An 18,263-nucleotide genomic window follows, 5' to 3' on the forward strand; every position below is an offset into this window, starting at 1 on the left:
AGGATTACAGGCATGAGCCACTGTGTCTGGCTGATGCTGATTTTTAAAATTATTTTGAGGCTAGGCATAATGGCTCACACCTATAATCCTAGCACTTTGGGAGGCTTAGGTGGGAGGACTGCTCAAGCCCAAGAGTTTGAGACCAGCCTGGGCAACATAGTAAGACCCTATCTCCACTAAAAATTAAAAAATTAGGTAGATGTGGTGGCATACACCTATAGTCCCAGCTACTTGAGAGGATGAGGTGGGAGGATTGTTTGCACCCAGGGAGTTGAGGCTGTACTGCCACTGAACTCCAGCCTGAGAGACAGAGCAAAACCCTGTCTCGAAAAAATATTGTATTGACACCTGTTTTGTGTCCTAATGTTTTGCCAATACTGGAGAATGTTACATGTACTGATAAAAAGAATGTGTATTCTGCAGCTGTTGTGTGAAATGTTCTGTAAATTTCTGTTAGATCCATTCAGTCTATAGACCAGTTCAAATTTTATGGGCTTTTTAGTTGATATTACATCTAGTTGATCTGTCCAATACTGAGAATGGGTATTGGGGTCTAGCTCTACCTTTAGATCTGATAATATTTGCTTTATATATCTGGGTGCTCTTGTATTGGGTGCATATATACATACATAATTGGTATATCCTCTTGCCGAATTGATCCTGCTGTTATTATATAATGCATTTTTGTTTTTTTTTTTAGTTTTTGACTTAAAATCTGTTTTATTGTATGTAAGTATAGCTTCTCCTGTTCATTTTTGATTTCCATTTGCATGGAATATTGTTTTTCACTTTCAGTCTATGTGTGTCTTTACAGGTGAATTGAGTTTCTTATAGGCAACATATAGTTGGATCTTTTAAAAATCCCTTTGGTCAATCTATATTTTTTAGTTGGGGAATTTAGTTCATTTTATTGATTGTTTCTCATTGTTTTGTATATTCTTTATTTCTTACTTTCTCTCTTTTTGTTTATTTTTTATGTTTGGCATGGTTTTCTGCAGTGATAAGGTTTGTTTCTTTTTCTTTCTTTTTTATTTTTTTGAGATGGTGTCTTGCTCTGTCACCCAGGTTGGAATGCAGGGGTGCCATCTCGGCGCAGTGCAACCTCCGCCTCCCAGGTTGAAGCAATTCTCTGCCTCAACCTCCTGGGTAGCTGGGATTACAGGTGCCCAGCAGCACGCCTGGCTAATTTTTGTATTTTGTATTTTAGTAGAGATGGGTTTTCACCATCTTGGCCAGGCTGGTCTTAAACTCCTGACCTTGTAATCTACCCACCTTGGCCTCCCAAAGTGCTGGGATTACAGGCGTGAGCCACTGCACCTGGCCTGATTTGTTTCTTTTTTGTGTATTTGCTCTATCTGCAAGTTTTGTACTTTCATATGTTTTCATGAACACATGCAGTTACTATCTTTTTGCTTCCAGAGGTAAGACTCCCTTAAACATTTCTTGTAAGGCTAATCTAGTGGTGATGAATTCCCCAGGTTTCTGGTTATCTGAGAAAAACTTTATTTCTCCTTCATTTCTAAGAATAGCTTTGCTGGGTATAGTATTCTCGGCTGATGGATTTGTTTGTTTTTTTTTTCTTTTAGTACTTCGAATATTTCATTCCATTCTTTCTGGCCTATACATTTTTTGCTGAGACATCTGCAATTAGGCTAATGGGTATTCCCTTATATGTGACTTGGTATTATATTTTTCTCTAGCTATTTTTGTCTTTGACTTTTGGCAAAACTCAAATATGCCTTGGAGAGGACTTGTTTGGATTAAATATATTTGGAGATTTTGAGTTTATTGGATCTGAATGTCCACCCCTTTTCTAAGACATGAGAAGTTTTTCACTATTATTTCATTAAATAGGTTTCCTTCACCTTTTCTCTTTTCTTCTCTTTCTACAGCTCCCATAATGCCAATATTTGTTCACTTACTGATGTTTCATACATTTTTGTAGGCTTTTTATTCATTCTTTAAAATATATTTTTTTTGTCTGCCTGAGTTATTCCAAAAGATCTATCTTCAAGTCCATAAATTCTTTCTTCTACTTGGTCTAATCTGTTGTTTAAGTTCTTGATTGTACTTTCTATTGTTTTATTCATTGAATTATCCAGCGTCAAGATATCTGTTTGGTTCTTTTGTATATTTCTTTATTGAATTTCTCATTCAAATAATGAATTTTTTTATTTTGTTTAACCATCTATCTGTCTCTTAATATCTATCTCTTATATCTCTTATCTATCTCTTATATCTCACTGATTTTCCTTAAGATTATTATTTTGAATTGTTTTCAGTACTTTGTATATTTCCTTGTAATTGAATTTTGTTACTTTAGAATTGTTTTGTTCCTTTGGAGGTGTAATGTTTCCTTGATTTTCTATGTTTGATGTGTTCTTACACTGATTTCTGTGCATCCAGTAGAACAGTCACCTCTTCCAATTTTATGAAATAGATTTATAGAAAAAGGCTTATTTCTTTTTTGTGTGTGTTTGTGTGTTTTGTTTTTTACTTTTACATTTGTTTTAATTTACATCTTTGATAAAAATTATTCAAATATTTTGCCTCAAATACAATTCTATTTTTTTGGCAGCAAATCCAGGTAGGATTATTTTTTATTAGATATTTTTCTTCAAAAAAAAATAGGGATACATGTGCAGAATGTGCAGGTTTGTTACATAGATATTTGTATGCCATGGTGGTTTCCTGCACCTATTGACCCATCCTCTAAGTTCCCCTCCCTCACCCCCATACCCCAACAGGCCCTGGTGTGTGTTGTTCCCCTCTCTGTGTCCATGTGTTCTCAATGGTCAGCTCCCACATATGAGTGAGAACATGCGGTGTTTGGTTTTCTGTTCCTGTGTTAGTTGGCTGAGGATGATGACTTCAAGCTTCATCCATGGCTGTGTGAAGGACATGATCTCTTTCCTTTTTATGGCTGCATAGTATTCCATGGTGTATATGTACCACATTTTCTTTATCCAGTCTATCACTGATGGGCATTTGGGTTGGTTCCATGTCTTTGCTATTGTAAATAGTGCTGCAATAAATATATGTGTGCATGTGTCTTTATAGTAGAATGATTTATATTTCTTTGGGTCTATATCCAGTAATGTGATTGCTGGGTCAAATGGTATTTCTGGTTCTAGATCCTTGAGAAATCACCATACTGTCTTCCACACAGGATGAATTAATTTACATTCCCACCAACAGTGTAAAAGCTTTCCTATTTCTCCACATCCTCGCCAGCATGTATTGTTTCCTGATTTTTTAATAATCACCATTCTAACTGGCAGGAGATGGTGTCTCATTGTGGTTTTGATTTCTCTAATGATCAGTGATGTTGAGCTTTTTTTCATATGTTTGTTGGCCACTTAAATGTCTTCTTTTGAGAAGTGTTTGTTCATACCCTTGGCCCACTTTTTGATGGGTTGTTTGTTTTTTTTTTCTTGTAAATATGCTTAAGCTCCTCATAAATTCTGGATATTAGACCTTTGTCAGATGGATAGACTGCAAAAATTTTCAACCATTTTTTAGGTTGGCTGCTCACTCTGATGATAGTTTCTTTTGCTGTGCAGAAGCTCTTTAGTTTAATTAGATCCCATTTGTTGATTCTGGTTTTTGTTGCAATTGTTTTTGCCATTTTTGTCATGAAGTCTTTGCCCATGCCTATGTTCTGAATGGTAATGCCTAGGTTTTCTTCTAGAGTTTTTATGGTTTGGGGTTTTACATTTAAGTCTTTAATCCATCTTGAGTTAATTTTTGTGTAAGTTGTAAGGAAGGGGTTCAGTTTCAGTTTTCTGACTATGGCTTGCCAGTTTTCCCAGCACCATTTACTGAATAGAAGATCCTTTCCCCATTCCCTGTTTTTGACAGGTTTGTTGATCAGATGGTTGTAGATGTGTGGTGTGATTTCTGAGGTCTCTGTTCTACTCCATTGGTCTTTATGTCTGTTTTGGTAATAGGACCATGCTGTGTTGGTTACTGTAGACTTGTACTATAGTTTGAAGTCAGGTAGCGTGATGCCTCCAGCTTTGTTCTTTTTGCTTAGGATTGTCTTGGCTATACAGGGTCTTCTTTGATTCCATATGAAATTTAAAATAGTTGATGAGAGCAGCAAACCAACATGGCACACGTATACCTATGTAATAAACCTGCACGTTGTGCACATGTACCCTAGAAATTAAAGTATAATAATAAACTTTAAAAAAAGAAATTTAAAATAGTTTTTTTTCTAATTCTGTGAAGAATGTCAACAGTAATTTGATGGGAGTAGCATTGAATCTATACATTACTTTGGGCCGTATGGCCATTTTCACAATATTGATTCTTCCTATCCATGAGGATGGAATGTTTTTCCATTTGTTTGTGTCCTCTCTTATATCCTTGAGCAGTGGTTTGTAGTTCTTCTTGAAGAGATCCTTCATATCACTTGTTGGCTGTATTCCTAAGTATTTTATTCTCTTTGTAGTGATTGTGAATGGGAGTTCATTCATGATTTGGCTCTCCACTTGTCTGTTGTTGGTGTAAAGGAATGCTTGTGATTTTTCACATTGATTTTGTATCCTGAGACTTTGCTGAAGTTGCTTATCAGTTCAAGAAGTTTTTGTGCTGAGATGATGGAGTTTTCTAAATGTAAAATCATGTCATCTGCAAACAAAGACAACTTGACTTCCTGTCTTCCTCTTTGAATACCCTTTATTTCTATCTCTTGCCTGATTGCCCTAGCCAGAACTTCCAATACTATGTCAGATAGGAGAAGTGAGAGAGGGCATCACTGGAAAAAGACTTATTTCTATAGATGGGTCTTAGGGTGTCAGTTGGGTAGGATGTGTTGGCTTTAATTCCACATGGACACAGTAGTCTCTAGTCAGTTTCTTCAGCTGTAATTCGTGCTAGTGATTTTTGTATCTCAGTGGCCTAGGCTGCAAGAGTTTGTGGCAGCAGTGGCACAACTTTGCTGGATGTGTGCTTGCTGGGCTATTTCTTAGGTGGAGGGAGGGATGTGAGTGCACATAATGTCCATGGTAAGTCAGCTAGCTGGGGGTCTGGCTCACTGAGGTTGGGGCTATGAGCCTGTTACTCTAGCCAGGGGTGTGGGCATACAGCTGCTTGGCTGCCCTGGGGGTGTGTCCTTGAGGGGCAAGCCCACTGGGCTGTTTTTCAGGCCTCAAGAACAGGCACACAGTCATTTGGTCAGTCTGAAGATGTGTCTGCCCAAGGTGGTCTGCCAAGCTGTTTTTCAGGACTTTGTTGTGCGTAGGGGCATGTTCACCAGGGATAGAGTCGCACATAGTAGACAAATTATAAAAGATAATTCAAGTCTCTTTATCTCTTTTTGGCATAAGCAGCAGATATCCTGAGCATCAAGAAAAAACTCAAGTAATGGAAAGAAGCAGGATTACTACTTTACAGAGGCCACATTCAAAACTTTTTTTTTTCATGAAACAGCTGTTTGTAACTCTATCTATAGTGTTCACTGCTTTATTAGAATTTTTCAGAGTCTCTTTGGAGGACTATATTCCAGTTTGAGAGAAAACCTTTCTCCTTGAGGATAATTGACTCTATCAATTCCAAGTGCTGGTAATTAATGATAGTAGAGAACTGGATGCAAATGATGTTTGCTAAGACCCACGTGAGCATATTGCTCTGTTAAGATACACATGGTCTCTAAGTACAATTTTTGGAGTTGAGAGCAGGAATACAATTAATGAAATATCCTCCCTCAATTTACCTTGTCTCAAAACTCAGATTAAGTACAAGGTAAGGTGCTTAAACAGTTTTAAATTTAGTAAATATATATGATGGAAGCCATTTGAGAAAATGATTTTTACAGTTTTAAGATGATGTGGTCCAAATGTTTGGCTTCCACACTACCACCATCTTTTGAGTTACAACATTTGATCTGATTTTTCTAATCCATGGGCTATCATAGTTCAGTTTAGTGTTGAATAATTTCATAAATCATATTCATGTACTGGTCCCTCTGTTCTTTCCAAGAATGTGGCTTTGATGAATAAACAACAGTTATAACATGTTTGTTTCTATCTCATGTACATCCAAAATTATAAAATCTCAATGTTGCACAAACTCAAGAGTTTCACCAAGTATATTGTATTGGCTTGGACTTCATTGGTTTTGTCAGTCTTTACTCTGCTAGACTGGGAAGAAAAAGTCTCCTAAATGTGAGATTCTGTAATTTTTCCTTTGAAACAAACTTCATCTTGCTTTTGCTTAATGAGGTCAAGAAAGTAGGGCTGAGGGTCCCTCCTGGGAGCATGTGGGGACCTGTGCAGGCTACTCTATGACTCCAATTTGTAGCTAGAGAATGAAGAAGAGCAGACCTGGGATGGACACATTTTGTTCACAGGTACAGTTGGTCACTGGGTCCTCCAGTAGACATGTTATGGCTGAAAACTCAGAGTATAGGCAATATTTACCCCCTTTTAAATTACACAAAATGATATTATCAGCAAAGCAGCCACATTTAACTTTAGTAGTCAAAGGGAAAAGGAGACACTTGGCAGCTTGCAATTGCTTTCCTTTTTAGTCTTTACAGTAATGGAATCGACTCAAACTGGTTCATCAGAGCCAATTGTACCCATCTCTTCCCAAACCCATGTTCAGTGACATCATACTGGTAACTTAATATTGACCATTGTGGGAGTAATTTATATCACAGAAATTGGCAAATGTTGCAAATCAGGACTTGGATTTTTTTTTTATCTTCAGAGGACCAGTTGTTAAATATTTACTAGCATACCACTGGTTTTATATCTAACTTGTTATTTCCTTTGATAACACATCATGAAACTCCTTCTCCTCATCACAGCTAATGTTTATTAATCACTTTATTTGAGCTGAACACTGTGCTAAGATACTTCACATGTGTTATTTTATTTAATTCTCACAACAACCTCATGAGGTTTAAGTCTCAGCTTGTGGTTGAAGATGCACAGATTTTATTTCTCAGGTAACACTTTCAAATAAGGAAACCAGAGCTCAATAAGGTGATATAACTTTTTTTTGAGATGATACAGCATGTAAGTGGTAGATTGTAGAATGTAATTTCTGGCTGACTCATGCTTTTAACCACATGCACTATGGTCTTTCCCAGCATAGGTTTTGTAGAAAACTGTTCTGGGCTCAAAATAATGATATCTTGGTTCTAGTGCACTCTCTGCACCCAGTCTGACACCTAATCTCTCAGAACCTCAGTGTCTGCATCTATAAAATAAGGCCAATGATAATAACTCCACCTGGCTCAGAGGATGGTTTTACCACTTAAATAATAGTATACAAAAGATTTATTTGGAAAGCTTAAGGACTATATAAATGGGAGATAACATTACAGGCTAAGTAAAAGTAAATATAGTCACACACATGCACACACACACACACACACACACACACACACACACACACAAAATTCCAGTGTAGAAGATTTGGCTGAAGTGAGTAATTTATATAAAGGCAGGTTCTGAGGACTCTTATAATGAATATTACTGGGTAAACTGGCAGGATGTTCGGCTTGGCAATATCTGATCTTATCTCTTGGAATTCTTTGGCTTTGGCACTCTCTAGCCTTCCCAGACAGTCTGACTGGTGATCAAGGTAGCCCTAATCTCATGGGCAGATTTGGATGGTGGATGCCTTCTAGGAATCAAATTGTTAACAAGACAGGTCAGTGTTGGGAAGTTGACATTTAATGACTTTAGGGAGAATTTCTGCTATGTTATGACCATGTTTTAATAAAGAGGTCCTTTTGCTGCTCCCAGAGCTATTTATGCTTTCAATAGTAAGCGTATTCCATTGTTATTAATTTCAGGTTTATTTTCTGCACTATATTGAACTCTCCATGATATCATATAATTATTTGATCACTATAGAATCTCCAGCACCAAGTACTGAGATTAGCAGATAGTATTGCTTTGTAAATATCTACCAAACTTGCACTTGCATGGGTGAGCTAACTTAGTCTGTTTCTGTGCACTTATTCATAACAGGTCCTCGTTTATCCTAACTACTTCTCATTCCGTTAGTTTGCTGAATTAATGAACAAGTATGTATCACTGTTGCATAGGCACCTTGGACAAATCTAAGATGCGTGATCTAGTATAATTTTTAAACAAATGATTTAAAAGAATTTCAGATGATTTTTACATTTTCATGTCTGATTTAACTTACCATTGATATCAATCTTGCTAACTTTCCTTCACTGGATGAAAAATGCTAAGGCTCTCAACTTCTGTCTTCTGCATTTCGTTCTACTAAGCTCAGTGAGGAATTTGATTTCTTTTGTAATATGGTATAAGCTCTCAATATGGCTTCAAAATAGTCTGTATTTGTGAAAGCTTCACATGTGACTCTGATCCACAACTAGAGTTGCTGGCATTGAGTTAGAGAATTCTATTTGCTAAGTATGCCTTTTTAACTGGAAGGAGTGCAGGATAGTGCTTCAGCAACTATGTACTCTATTTTCCTACAGATGAAGTATGAACAATGGTAACAAAGCAAGTAAAATGTAGTTATCTAAGCACCTAGTGAGGTTCTTCATTTGCTGCTTGGACATCTTAATAAATTAGAGAGCAAATAATCATTACTTTGATAATCATTCAAAATAATACTTCTACATACTGGCTACATCTCACAAGTAATATAGATGATCTTAGTGGTCTTGGCTATAAATCTTTTTTGATGTAATTTCTAAAACTTACACTAATCAGAACTAGACTGGTATAATCAGAGTGGTCCATCTTCTATTTAGTATTTCAAGAAGTTAGAAATATCATTTCAGATACATTATTAATAACTTTATACCTTTCTATGAGACAAATAAGAACAATTATATTTTTGATAATAGACTAGAAGTTCTAGGGACAGCAAATTAAAGTGTTTAAATTGCAAGTAGATGTCTGGCAGATAATCATGCTAATTATCTGGTAACTTATATGTCAAGCCTAACAATTTATATCTGAACGCATACATCTACCTGTGTGTATGCATCAAATATAAAGTAACCTCCCCAGTACTTTCTCTTAAAGATCAGCAAATAGCTGATAGATTAGTAACTCCACGGTCCTGATATTCAATATTGCAGCCCATGTGCTCATAGGTCAGACAGATAATTAAAGCTACTTACTGCTTATTAAAATAAGTGGACCAGGAGAAAATATGAATCAGGGAACTTAGTATTAATCTCACTAGATTTGTTTGCTTTTTTGAAAATCCTCTCAATACAAAAGTTTGTAGAGGAGTATTCCTTACACTTCTTTAACAGATAGACCCCAGTGTGAAAACAATAACAACAACTAAAACCCCAAAACCAAAATCAGAACACCCCATTGTACTGTAGCTAGTCATCACTAGTAATTCAAAGTATAGTTGTTAGAATTACTGGGTTAGGGAGGAAATATTTTTGCTAAAAAGTACTTTTATTTTATAAACCATGAGTTATTAATTTGTGCTGAAGACAGAAAAGATATTCTGTCACTTTTGGAAATATAGCCACTTGTAAAGCACTTGCCTGCCGTCAGAATAGGAAGCCTCATGGCTTATAAATCTAGACTGTCTAAGGAGAATTATTGTTGGACTGGATTGTATAGGAGGTCAGGGAACAAATAAAAGTCTTATTTAACAAGCTTGGGGAGAATGACTCTTGATGTTTACCCAGGTATCTGATCCAAAGACTAGTATATTTTTCCATCATTTATTAATCAGTGCAAGCAATATTTATTAAGCATTTCCTATGTGATGTACTGACTTCATGTGACTTATTAGTAAAAGCTATTCCTGAGAGACTATGTACTAGAAGAGGTACTGAGGAGGAGATGGTGGGTAAACTGAAGATGGGTTACTAGGAACATTTAAGGCTTCCAAACTGCCTGAGTCCCATCTGTGATCATGCCACATCTGAAAGTTTGTGTCCATTCCTGCTGCCAACTTATTAATGATCTAGCTGTTTATGGGTGTTCTATCCTTTGTTTATTCCACTAGATTTAATAGCCTGTAAATGCCTGTAAATGCCCTGGGCCTGCCCTGAGCAAGGCAGGTAGTGTATGATAAGACCTTTACTAATCTGGAAACAGTCTGCTTCCGTACTGCGGTGGGTGGTATTGGGTATAGAACAGTCATTCTACTAACCCAGTGGTTAGTTTTTTAGGCTAGGACCATGGGGCAGTGCCATATTGCTTTCTCTGGAGAACAGTTATTCATTGTGAATGGCTATCCTTAGCCATGAGAGGTATTAGAGGGAATAGTGTGCTAGGAATGATGTCTGGGATGTTACCATCTTCTCTAAAAAGACTCCCTAATTAATCAACTCCTTGTTTTCCCCATGAGTGTCATCCTTTTAATGTTCAGTAGAGAAAAATCACCTTCCAGAGGGTAAGAGATGGCTGTCATTTGCAAAAAGTATGACTACTCTCATGGCTTCTGAGGAAATGGAAAAAGCTAGGATCAGTGAGGAAAGGCATGGACTTAAAGCCAGTCATGAGCATGAAGCACATTCGTGATGGAGTGCTAGAGGATTCTTGCCATTTGCATTGAACATCTGCTTTCCAGCTTCCATTTTAGTTATGTAAACATACCAGAATGAGTTAACTTGGGTGGAATCTCAAATCATTCCTTTTGGGGATAGGATATGCCAGAACGGCCTGATATAGGGATATGAGCAGGCATCTCAGGTGAGAAATCTGTGTCGCTTACTTTATTCCCCATTAAAAACCTGCATTCTTGTTATTTACATGGGCTTTCTTCTCCCTTTCTCCATTCCCCTTTGTATCTGGTATCTGTCTCTTCCCTCGATTCTTCCTTCTTTCCCAGGTGTGTTTGATAACTGCTCCCACACTGTCAGTGACAAAGGCTGGGCCCTGGGGATCCGCTCAGGGAAGGACAAGGGAAAGCGGGATGCTCGCTTCTTCTTCTCCCTCTGCACCGACCGCGTGAAGAAAGCCACCATCTTGATTAGCCACAGTCGCTACCAACCAGGCACATGGACCCATGTGGCAGCCACTTACGATGGACGGCACATGGCCCTGTATGTGGATGGCACTCAGGTGGCTAGCAGTCTAGACCAGTCTGGTCCCCTGAACAGCCCCTTCATGGCATCTTGCCGCTCTTTGCTCCTGGGGGGAGACAGCTCTGAGGATGGGCACTATTTCCGTGGACACCTGGGCACACTGGTTTTCTGGTCGACCGCCCTGCCACAAAGCCATTTTCAGCACAGTTCTCAGCATTCAAGTGGGGAGGAGGAAGCGACTGACTTGGTCCTGACAGCGAGCTTTGAGCCTGTGAACACAGAGTGGGTTCCCTTTAGAGATGAGAAGTACCCACGACTTGAGGTTCTCCAGGGCTTTGAGCCAGAGCCTGAGATTCTGTCGCCTTTGCAGCCCCCACTCTGTGGGCAAACAGTCTGTGACAATGTGGAATTGATCTCCCAGTACAATGGATACTGGCCCCTTCGGGGAGAGAAGGTGATACGCTACCAGGTGGTGAACATCTGTGATGATGAGGGCCTAAACCCCATTGTGAGTGAGGAGCAGATTCGTCTGCAGCACGAGGCACTGAATGAGGCCTTCAGCCGCTACAACATCAGCTGGCAGCTGAGCGTCCACCAGGTCCACAATTCCACCCTGCGACACCGGGTTGTGCTTGTGAACTGTGAGCCCAGCAAGATTGGCAATGACCATTGTGACCCCGAGTGTGAGCACCCACTCACAGGCTATGATGGGGGTGACTGCCGCCTGCAGGGCCGCTGCTACTCCTGGAACCGCAGGGATGGGCTCTGTCACGTGGAGTGTAACAACATGCTGAACGACTTTGACGACGGAGACTGCTGCGACCCCCAGGTGGCTGATGTGCGCAAGACCTGCTTTGACCCTGACTCACCCAAGAGGTAAGGGACTGGGATTTGGGGTGTCCTACTTGTAGGATGCATTTCTAACATCATTTTATCTGTTTGGTTTTGGAGGCAAATGTGTTCACACACTCCCTGAATAAGACATTAATCCACCCCATCAGACAGTATTAAGCTTTTGTGAAGTGCTAGGTGTTCTGTTAGGTAATTAGGGGCACAGATGACTGAGAAAAGAGACAGTCCTCACAGAACTCACTGTTTGTGGGGCAGAAAGCTGTGTACACAGTGTGAAGCGCACCCAAAAGCATATGCACCAGGTACTTGGGACACAGGAAAGCTGAACAACTTACTCTACCAGAGGAGGCCAGGAAATCTTCATGGAGAACAAACAAGGCATCCAGGCCTAGACACCAGTCAATACTAATTACACGTGACAATACTTCCTATAGTCTTAGCATCTTGGCAAAGTAATACAGATCTGTGAAAATGTGTTAGGTCTATTTAGTCTAAGCAGTTCAGCAGTTTCGTAAAGTTTCGTGTTACATCTCGCCACTAGTCTCCTTTAGGTGACTGGGATCTTTCACTGTTGCCCCATTAAATTCCATTCTTTGTGCAGCATCCAGAAGGATCTTTTTAAAAAGGTAAGTTGGATCCTGTCATTTCTCGTCTTAAGATTTTTTCCTCCACTGCACTCAGAATAAAATCTGAACCCCCTACCTGATACACAGCCTCTTAATGCAATCTGGCCTCTGTCTACCTCTCCATCACCACCTATATAGCACAGCCTCGCTGACTTGATTCTGTTCCATTGAACAGATCAAGCTTTTTTCTGCCCTCAGGGCTTTTATGTGCTGTTCCATCTTCTTGGAATCCTCCTTTCCTTAATATTCCCATGGTGGGCTCTCTCTTGTCATTCAAATACCTACTTAGATGTTACCACCTGGGAGGCCTTTCCTAATCCCTCAAATTAAATCTATCAATTACTGTTACATCAACTAATTTAAATTTCCTGTTTAACACTTAGTACTTCAGATAATTTGTCTTTCACGTTCATGTGTTTGTCTGTTTTTCCCCTATTTGGAATATCAGCTACATGAGATAGGGGCCCTTGTCTATTCTGTTAACCACTATATTCCCAAGGCCTAGAATAGCAGCTGACATTTAGTTGTTTAAGTTGATGAATAAATGGATCTGGTGTGTCTCTTGTTCTGAGACAGAAGCCTTAAGAAGATTCTCATTTGACGGCTGTTGCAGGGGTTGGACATAATAGAGGAGGGTAAGAAAGTAGGTAGGTAGCTAGTGAACTTGTTAATATGTGTATGTGGACAAGGTATCCCCAGTACACAACTGGTGCCTTTGTTCAAATTATGAAAAGGCTTACCTGACCTAGGGTACAGGGCTGGTGGGAGGTGGCAGAACAGGATCTCAGCTTCCACCCAATGTCTTGATGGCTACTTTTGTATTGGACACCATTTGTACAAGTAGTTCATGGTATCCCTGTGTGTGGGGAGTCCTCTTGATATGAGTTAACACTAATAGAGTGGCCTGTACTTCAAGCATGTGGTATCAAAAATCGAGAATACAATTTGGAATCAAGGGACATGGTTAAATTTTGGAGTCCTTGCTACTTAACTAGGTTTGCAAGTTACGCAAGTCACGTTCGGAAACTCAGAAGTCTTGTCTGTAAACTAGGGATGATTGCAGTAATACCTTGCATTATCAGTATTTTCAGATTATTTTGTGAATCAAATGAAATAAAGTATAGGAAAGTAGCTCTAAAGTTTTCAAAGCACACAAATTGTTGTAAAATAAGATTAGTTCTTATTATTAAGGCTGACAGATAGCAAGCTTTTATTTACATAATAATGCAAAGAGAGCTAATCAAATTATCAGAACTACTTGTATAAGAAAATTCTGTTTGGAACAATGAGAACACATGGACACAGGGAGGGGAACATCACATACCGGGGTCTGTCATGGGCTGGGGGGCTAGGGGAAGGATAGCATTAGGAGAAACACCTAATGTAGATGATGGGTCGATGGGCGCAGCAAACCACCATGGCACGTGTGTACCTATGTAACAAACCTGCACGTTCTGCACATGTATCCCAGAACTTAAAGTATAATTTAAAAAAAAAGAAGAAAAGAAAATTGTGTTTGGATTTGGTTTTTAGATTTTGGTAACCTTAAGCAGAAGCTAAACCTCACTAACAGCAGTGGTTAGCAACACTTAGGATCCCCCAGATAAATGAGAAAGTCTGGTCTCCTAGTTTATAGTAATAACCCACTGCCCTGTCTGAGAGAGCTGTCTTTCAAGGTATCCAGGTATTATTCTCCTCAGAGTTTCCCTTTATTTCTCTGAGTTCCTATCACACTGCCCTTATCTGGGTGTTTATAACTTACTCACCTCACTGCCTGCAGAAGGGGAACTCACTCCTATTTATAGACCCAGTAGTGTTTTGAACCTTTATTCATAAGTGACTCTTTTACCCCCCACATATAAAACCTGCTTTGTGGAATACAAAGGAAATATTTATACTTTTTGATAGTTAAAAATACTAACTCAAAGTAAAAAAGTGCTCATGGTTTAAAATATCAAATTATACCAAAAGACAGAAGGAAGAAAAACAGTGTCCTGCCTAACTCTTCCCCATCCTTCTCCACACTCTGTCCTTGCTCTGCACAGGTTACTATATTTATTTTTTTCACCTGTTTTTTTTTCTGGTAGTTTCCTGTACACCTCCAAATATTATATTTATATTGCTTGGTTCATCAATTTTAAACATTATCCATTGATTTCTGATGATACAGACAAGACTAACTCTCTTACATTATCTCCTTCCTTGCCCTTGCATCCTTCCATATAATTACTATTTTTTGTTGAATCAATTGTATGTATTATAGTATTATGACTGTGAAATGTTAATTGTTGCAGAACAAAGTACTATTCTATTATTATATTTCTTTCCTTGCACAGCTTCTTCCCATTTCCAGCCCCACCCCTTGAGTCTCTATTTTTCCTTCCTTTCTTCTTTTATTCTTTCTTGATATTCTTGATTGTTTTCAAATGCTTTATTTTACCCACTAATTTGTAGAATATATTTATGAAAATGTTCCCCTCCTCTGAGCTGTTCTAACACTAAATAAAACTCTTCTTCTTCACCCTTAAAAAAATGTTTTTTACACTCCTATAGAGCTCTCTCTTCTAGTTAATTCTATTCTTTTCTTCCAGTCTTGGCCAGTTGTCTTTAGGTCTGCTGCACAGTTGTCATCCTGGGACTTCTCTTCAATGCGTTTTTTTGGGGGGGTTAGAGCTACTGTGTCCTGAATTACATGAATATCTCTTAATTTACTACCTTATTTTACTGGAAAACATCCTCAAGCAAATTTCTAAGAAAAGATGTTTCAGGTAATCTTTTTTGAAAATGCACTTCTCAGAATGATTTTATTCTGCCTTCCTACAAAATTGATAGTTTGACTTGGTATAAAATTTTGGATTGAAAAACAGTTTATCTCAAACTTATGAAGAAATTCATTAATTACTTCTAGCTTCTGTTCTGATAATTGTGTGTATTTTTATAGGTGTGTGTGTGTGTATATATATATACACCCATATATGTATGTATGTATGTACATATATATATATACACACACACACACACACAAATATATTTGCATATTCTTTTAGCATCTTATCCTTAGCCTTGTTACACTAGGGATTTGTAAGATTATTTTTTAGGGATTGCCTTTTATTGTTCTTTTGTTGAACACTGTTCAATTTGGACACTTATGCCCCTGGTCTCTGGAAAAATCTCTTAAACTGTTACTTTGATATTTCTTCATTCAGTTTTCTCTGTTCTCTTTGTTACCCCTGATACTCCTGGGGATGAATCTACTGAACTTACTCTTTTTCTCTTTTCTCTCCTACGTTCTCTTTGTTAGTTTGTTCTACTTTTTTTTTTTTTTTTGAGATTTCTTTGAGTCTATCTTTCAATGCTTTTATTTACTTTTATATTTTAGCAATCATACTTTAAAAACCTTCTTATTCTTTGATTATTTTTAATATAATCTTAAAAAATTTTAAGATAAGCATTTTCAAAGATAAAAATGTGATTCATTTGGAATTGTTTTTTTGTGTGTTATATCCGATGCATCTGAAGTCAACTTTTCTTTTTTTATTATATTTTAAATTCATGACTATCATTTATGCTGGTGACTTTCCTTAAATGTCTAATGCTTATTCACAGTAGAAACCACACTTTTAAATCTCTACCTATGACGATCTAAGAAAGAATAATTATCTATGAATTTTCTCTTTTGAAAAAAGAAATTTGAAGGCAGAAACATAGAGGAGGAGAGAGGTTTTCTTTCTTCTCAGCTCTCTTATACTTATTTTGTGTGTAGGTCTTTTCTGCCTTCCCTATCCTATTTTTTGTGTTGAATCTTTATTATTAAAAATATTAATTTTTTATGACTCTTGGCAAAAGCAATATTTTGAAAAATCATTATTTATCAAGCTTCTATGATGTGTCAGGCATGGTAAGGTAAGCAGAGGGACACACGTAAAGACTATGGAAAGGATAAGGGCTAACGATTTGGAGGAGAAGTTCAGTAATTTTATCTGAATTCTCTGGGTTTAAATCCAGGCTGAGGCATTAAAAGCAGAACATGGGATGTGGCTTTTCTTTGTCATGGTTTAGATTGCCTGAAAGGACTTTTGATTCATAGAGATATAGATCTTTGGGTTTCCATGAGGTCCTGTGACTTGGTGGAGTTAGTCTCTGAACTAGATTAGCTTTGTAGAGCCTCCCTATTATTACAATTAAATCACAGAGCTCGGCCGGGCGCGGTGGCTCACGCCTGTAATCCCAGCACTTTGGGAGGCCGAGGCGGGCGGATCACGAGGTCAGGAGATCGAGACCATCCTGGCTAACACGGTGAAACCCCGTCTCTACTAAAAATACAAAAAATTAGCCGGGCGTGGTAGCGGGCGCCTGTAGTCCCAGCTACTCGGGAGGCTGAGGCAGGAGAATGGCGTGAACCCGGGAGGCGGAGCTTGCAGTGAGCCGAGATCGCGCCACTGCACTCCAGCCTGGGCGACAGAGCGAGACTCCGTCTCAAAAAAAAAAAAAAAAAAAAAAATCACAGAGCTCAAGCTCACAATTCCATTATACTGTTACTCTGAAGGGACTCAACTTTGAGAAATGCTTTGCGAGTCATCTATTGAGTGGAGTGCTCCAGGCACAGAGTCTTTCCACTCACAGTGGAAGCACCTTCGACTGTTGAGGGAGAGTAGTAGAAAGTGGGGGACAGACCTACAAATAGATCACTAACATTCGAATGCAAGGGTTGATGTATGAACAACTCTCCTCACTTCCCAAATCCTGTTCAATCTTCCTGCTATGGTTCCAATGTGTCTCCCAAAGTTCTTATTTCCTGCTATGGTTCCAATGTGTCTCCCAAAGTTCATATGTTAGAAATTTAATCCCTGAAGCAACAGTGTTGAGAGGTGAAAATGTTAAGAGATACTTAGGTCATGAGAGCTCTGCCCTCGTGAATGGATTAATGCTGTTATCACAGGAGTGAGTTTCTGATAAAAAGATGAGTTTGCTACCCCTCTGTCATGTCTGCTTTCTTGCACTTCTGTCTTCTGCAATGTGATGATGAAGCAAGAGGACCTTCACTAGATGCAGGCCTCTCGAGCTTGGACTTTACAGCCTCCAGAACTGCAGGAAATTAATCTCTTTTTTTCATAAATTACCCACTCTCATGTATTCTGCTATGGCAGCACAAAACAAACAAAGATGCATTCCTACCACCCCCAGCAAGAAACCAGAAATCTAGCCCAAAGTAGTTCCTCTCCCAAACGCTCTGAGAGGAGAGAGAGCCTGACGCATCCAGCATCAAACATCTGCAACCCAGATGGGCCTATCAAAGGGAGAGTACTTATCAAGCTCTGGACTGGTCAGGAGGAGATATGAATTACAGATACATTACCCAGCCAGTTGAACAGACTTACCAAGATAAAGGAACTTGGAACTAGGCAGGGCTACATAAGCCAGATGTCTGTTTCTACATAGTAGCTGCCCTGAGAGATGATCTGCGAGAGTTAAGGGAAGGAAGGGTGTTGAGTGTCCACTTCAGTAAAATCACAAATGTCATTGACTATTCCCTGTGGTACATACTAGGGAGCTCAGCCCAAAGGAATTTCTGTACCCTCAGGGGAACTTGTCTTCCCTGACCTTTGCAGGCTTCAGCTTCTTTTTGGTTATTAATTGTTTCTGTCACATTTCTCCCTAAAATTATGTCTCAGAGTTACAGTTCTTTGCTGCTGCACCTACTTTCCATCCCATGCTTTCTCTCCTTTTCGCAATAGAGTTGAGCAAGTATTTCATTAAATCTGGAACTCTGCTTGTCTCTC

At 38.7% G+C, this 18,263-nt stretch overlaps 1 protein-coding gene across 7 annotated transcripts in view; it reads left to right on the forward strand.

Moving 5' to 3' along the window:
- Window positions 1-18,263, forward strand: part of PAPPA2 (pappalysin 2) — a 382,427-nt gene that overhangs the window by 120,540 nt on the left and 243,624 nt on the right. For all 7 annotated transcript variants that reach the window (XM_047427180.1, XM_017002024.2, XM_017002023.2 and 4 more), the window contains one exon: window positions 10,810-11,881. In XM_047427180.1, the coding sequence (XP_047283136.1) occupies window positions 10,810-11,881 (1,072 nt within the window). The remainder of the gene's footprint in view (window positions 1-10,809; window positions 11,882-18,263) is intronic.

Source organism: Homo sapiens, chromosome 1 (genome assembly GCF_000001405.40).
Source record: "Homo sapiens chromosome 1, GRCh38.p14 Primary Assembly".
In the NCBI taxonomy this organism is placed as follows: Eukaryota; Metazoa; Chordata; class Mammalia; order Primates; family Hominidae; genus Homo; species Homo sapiens.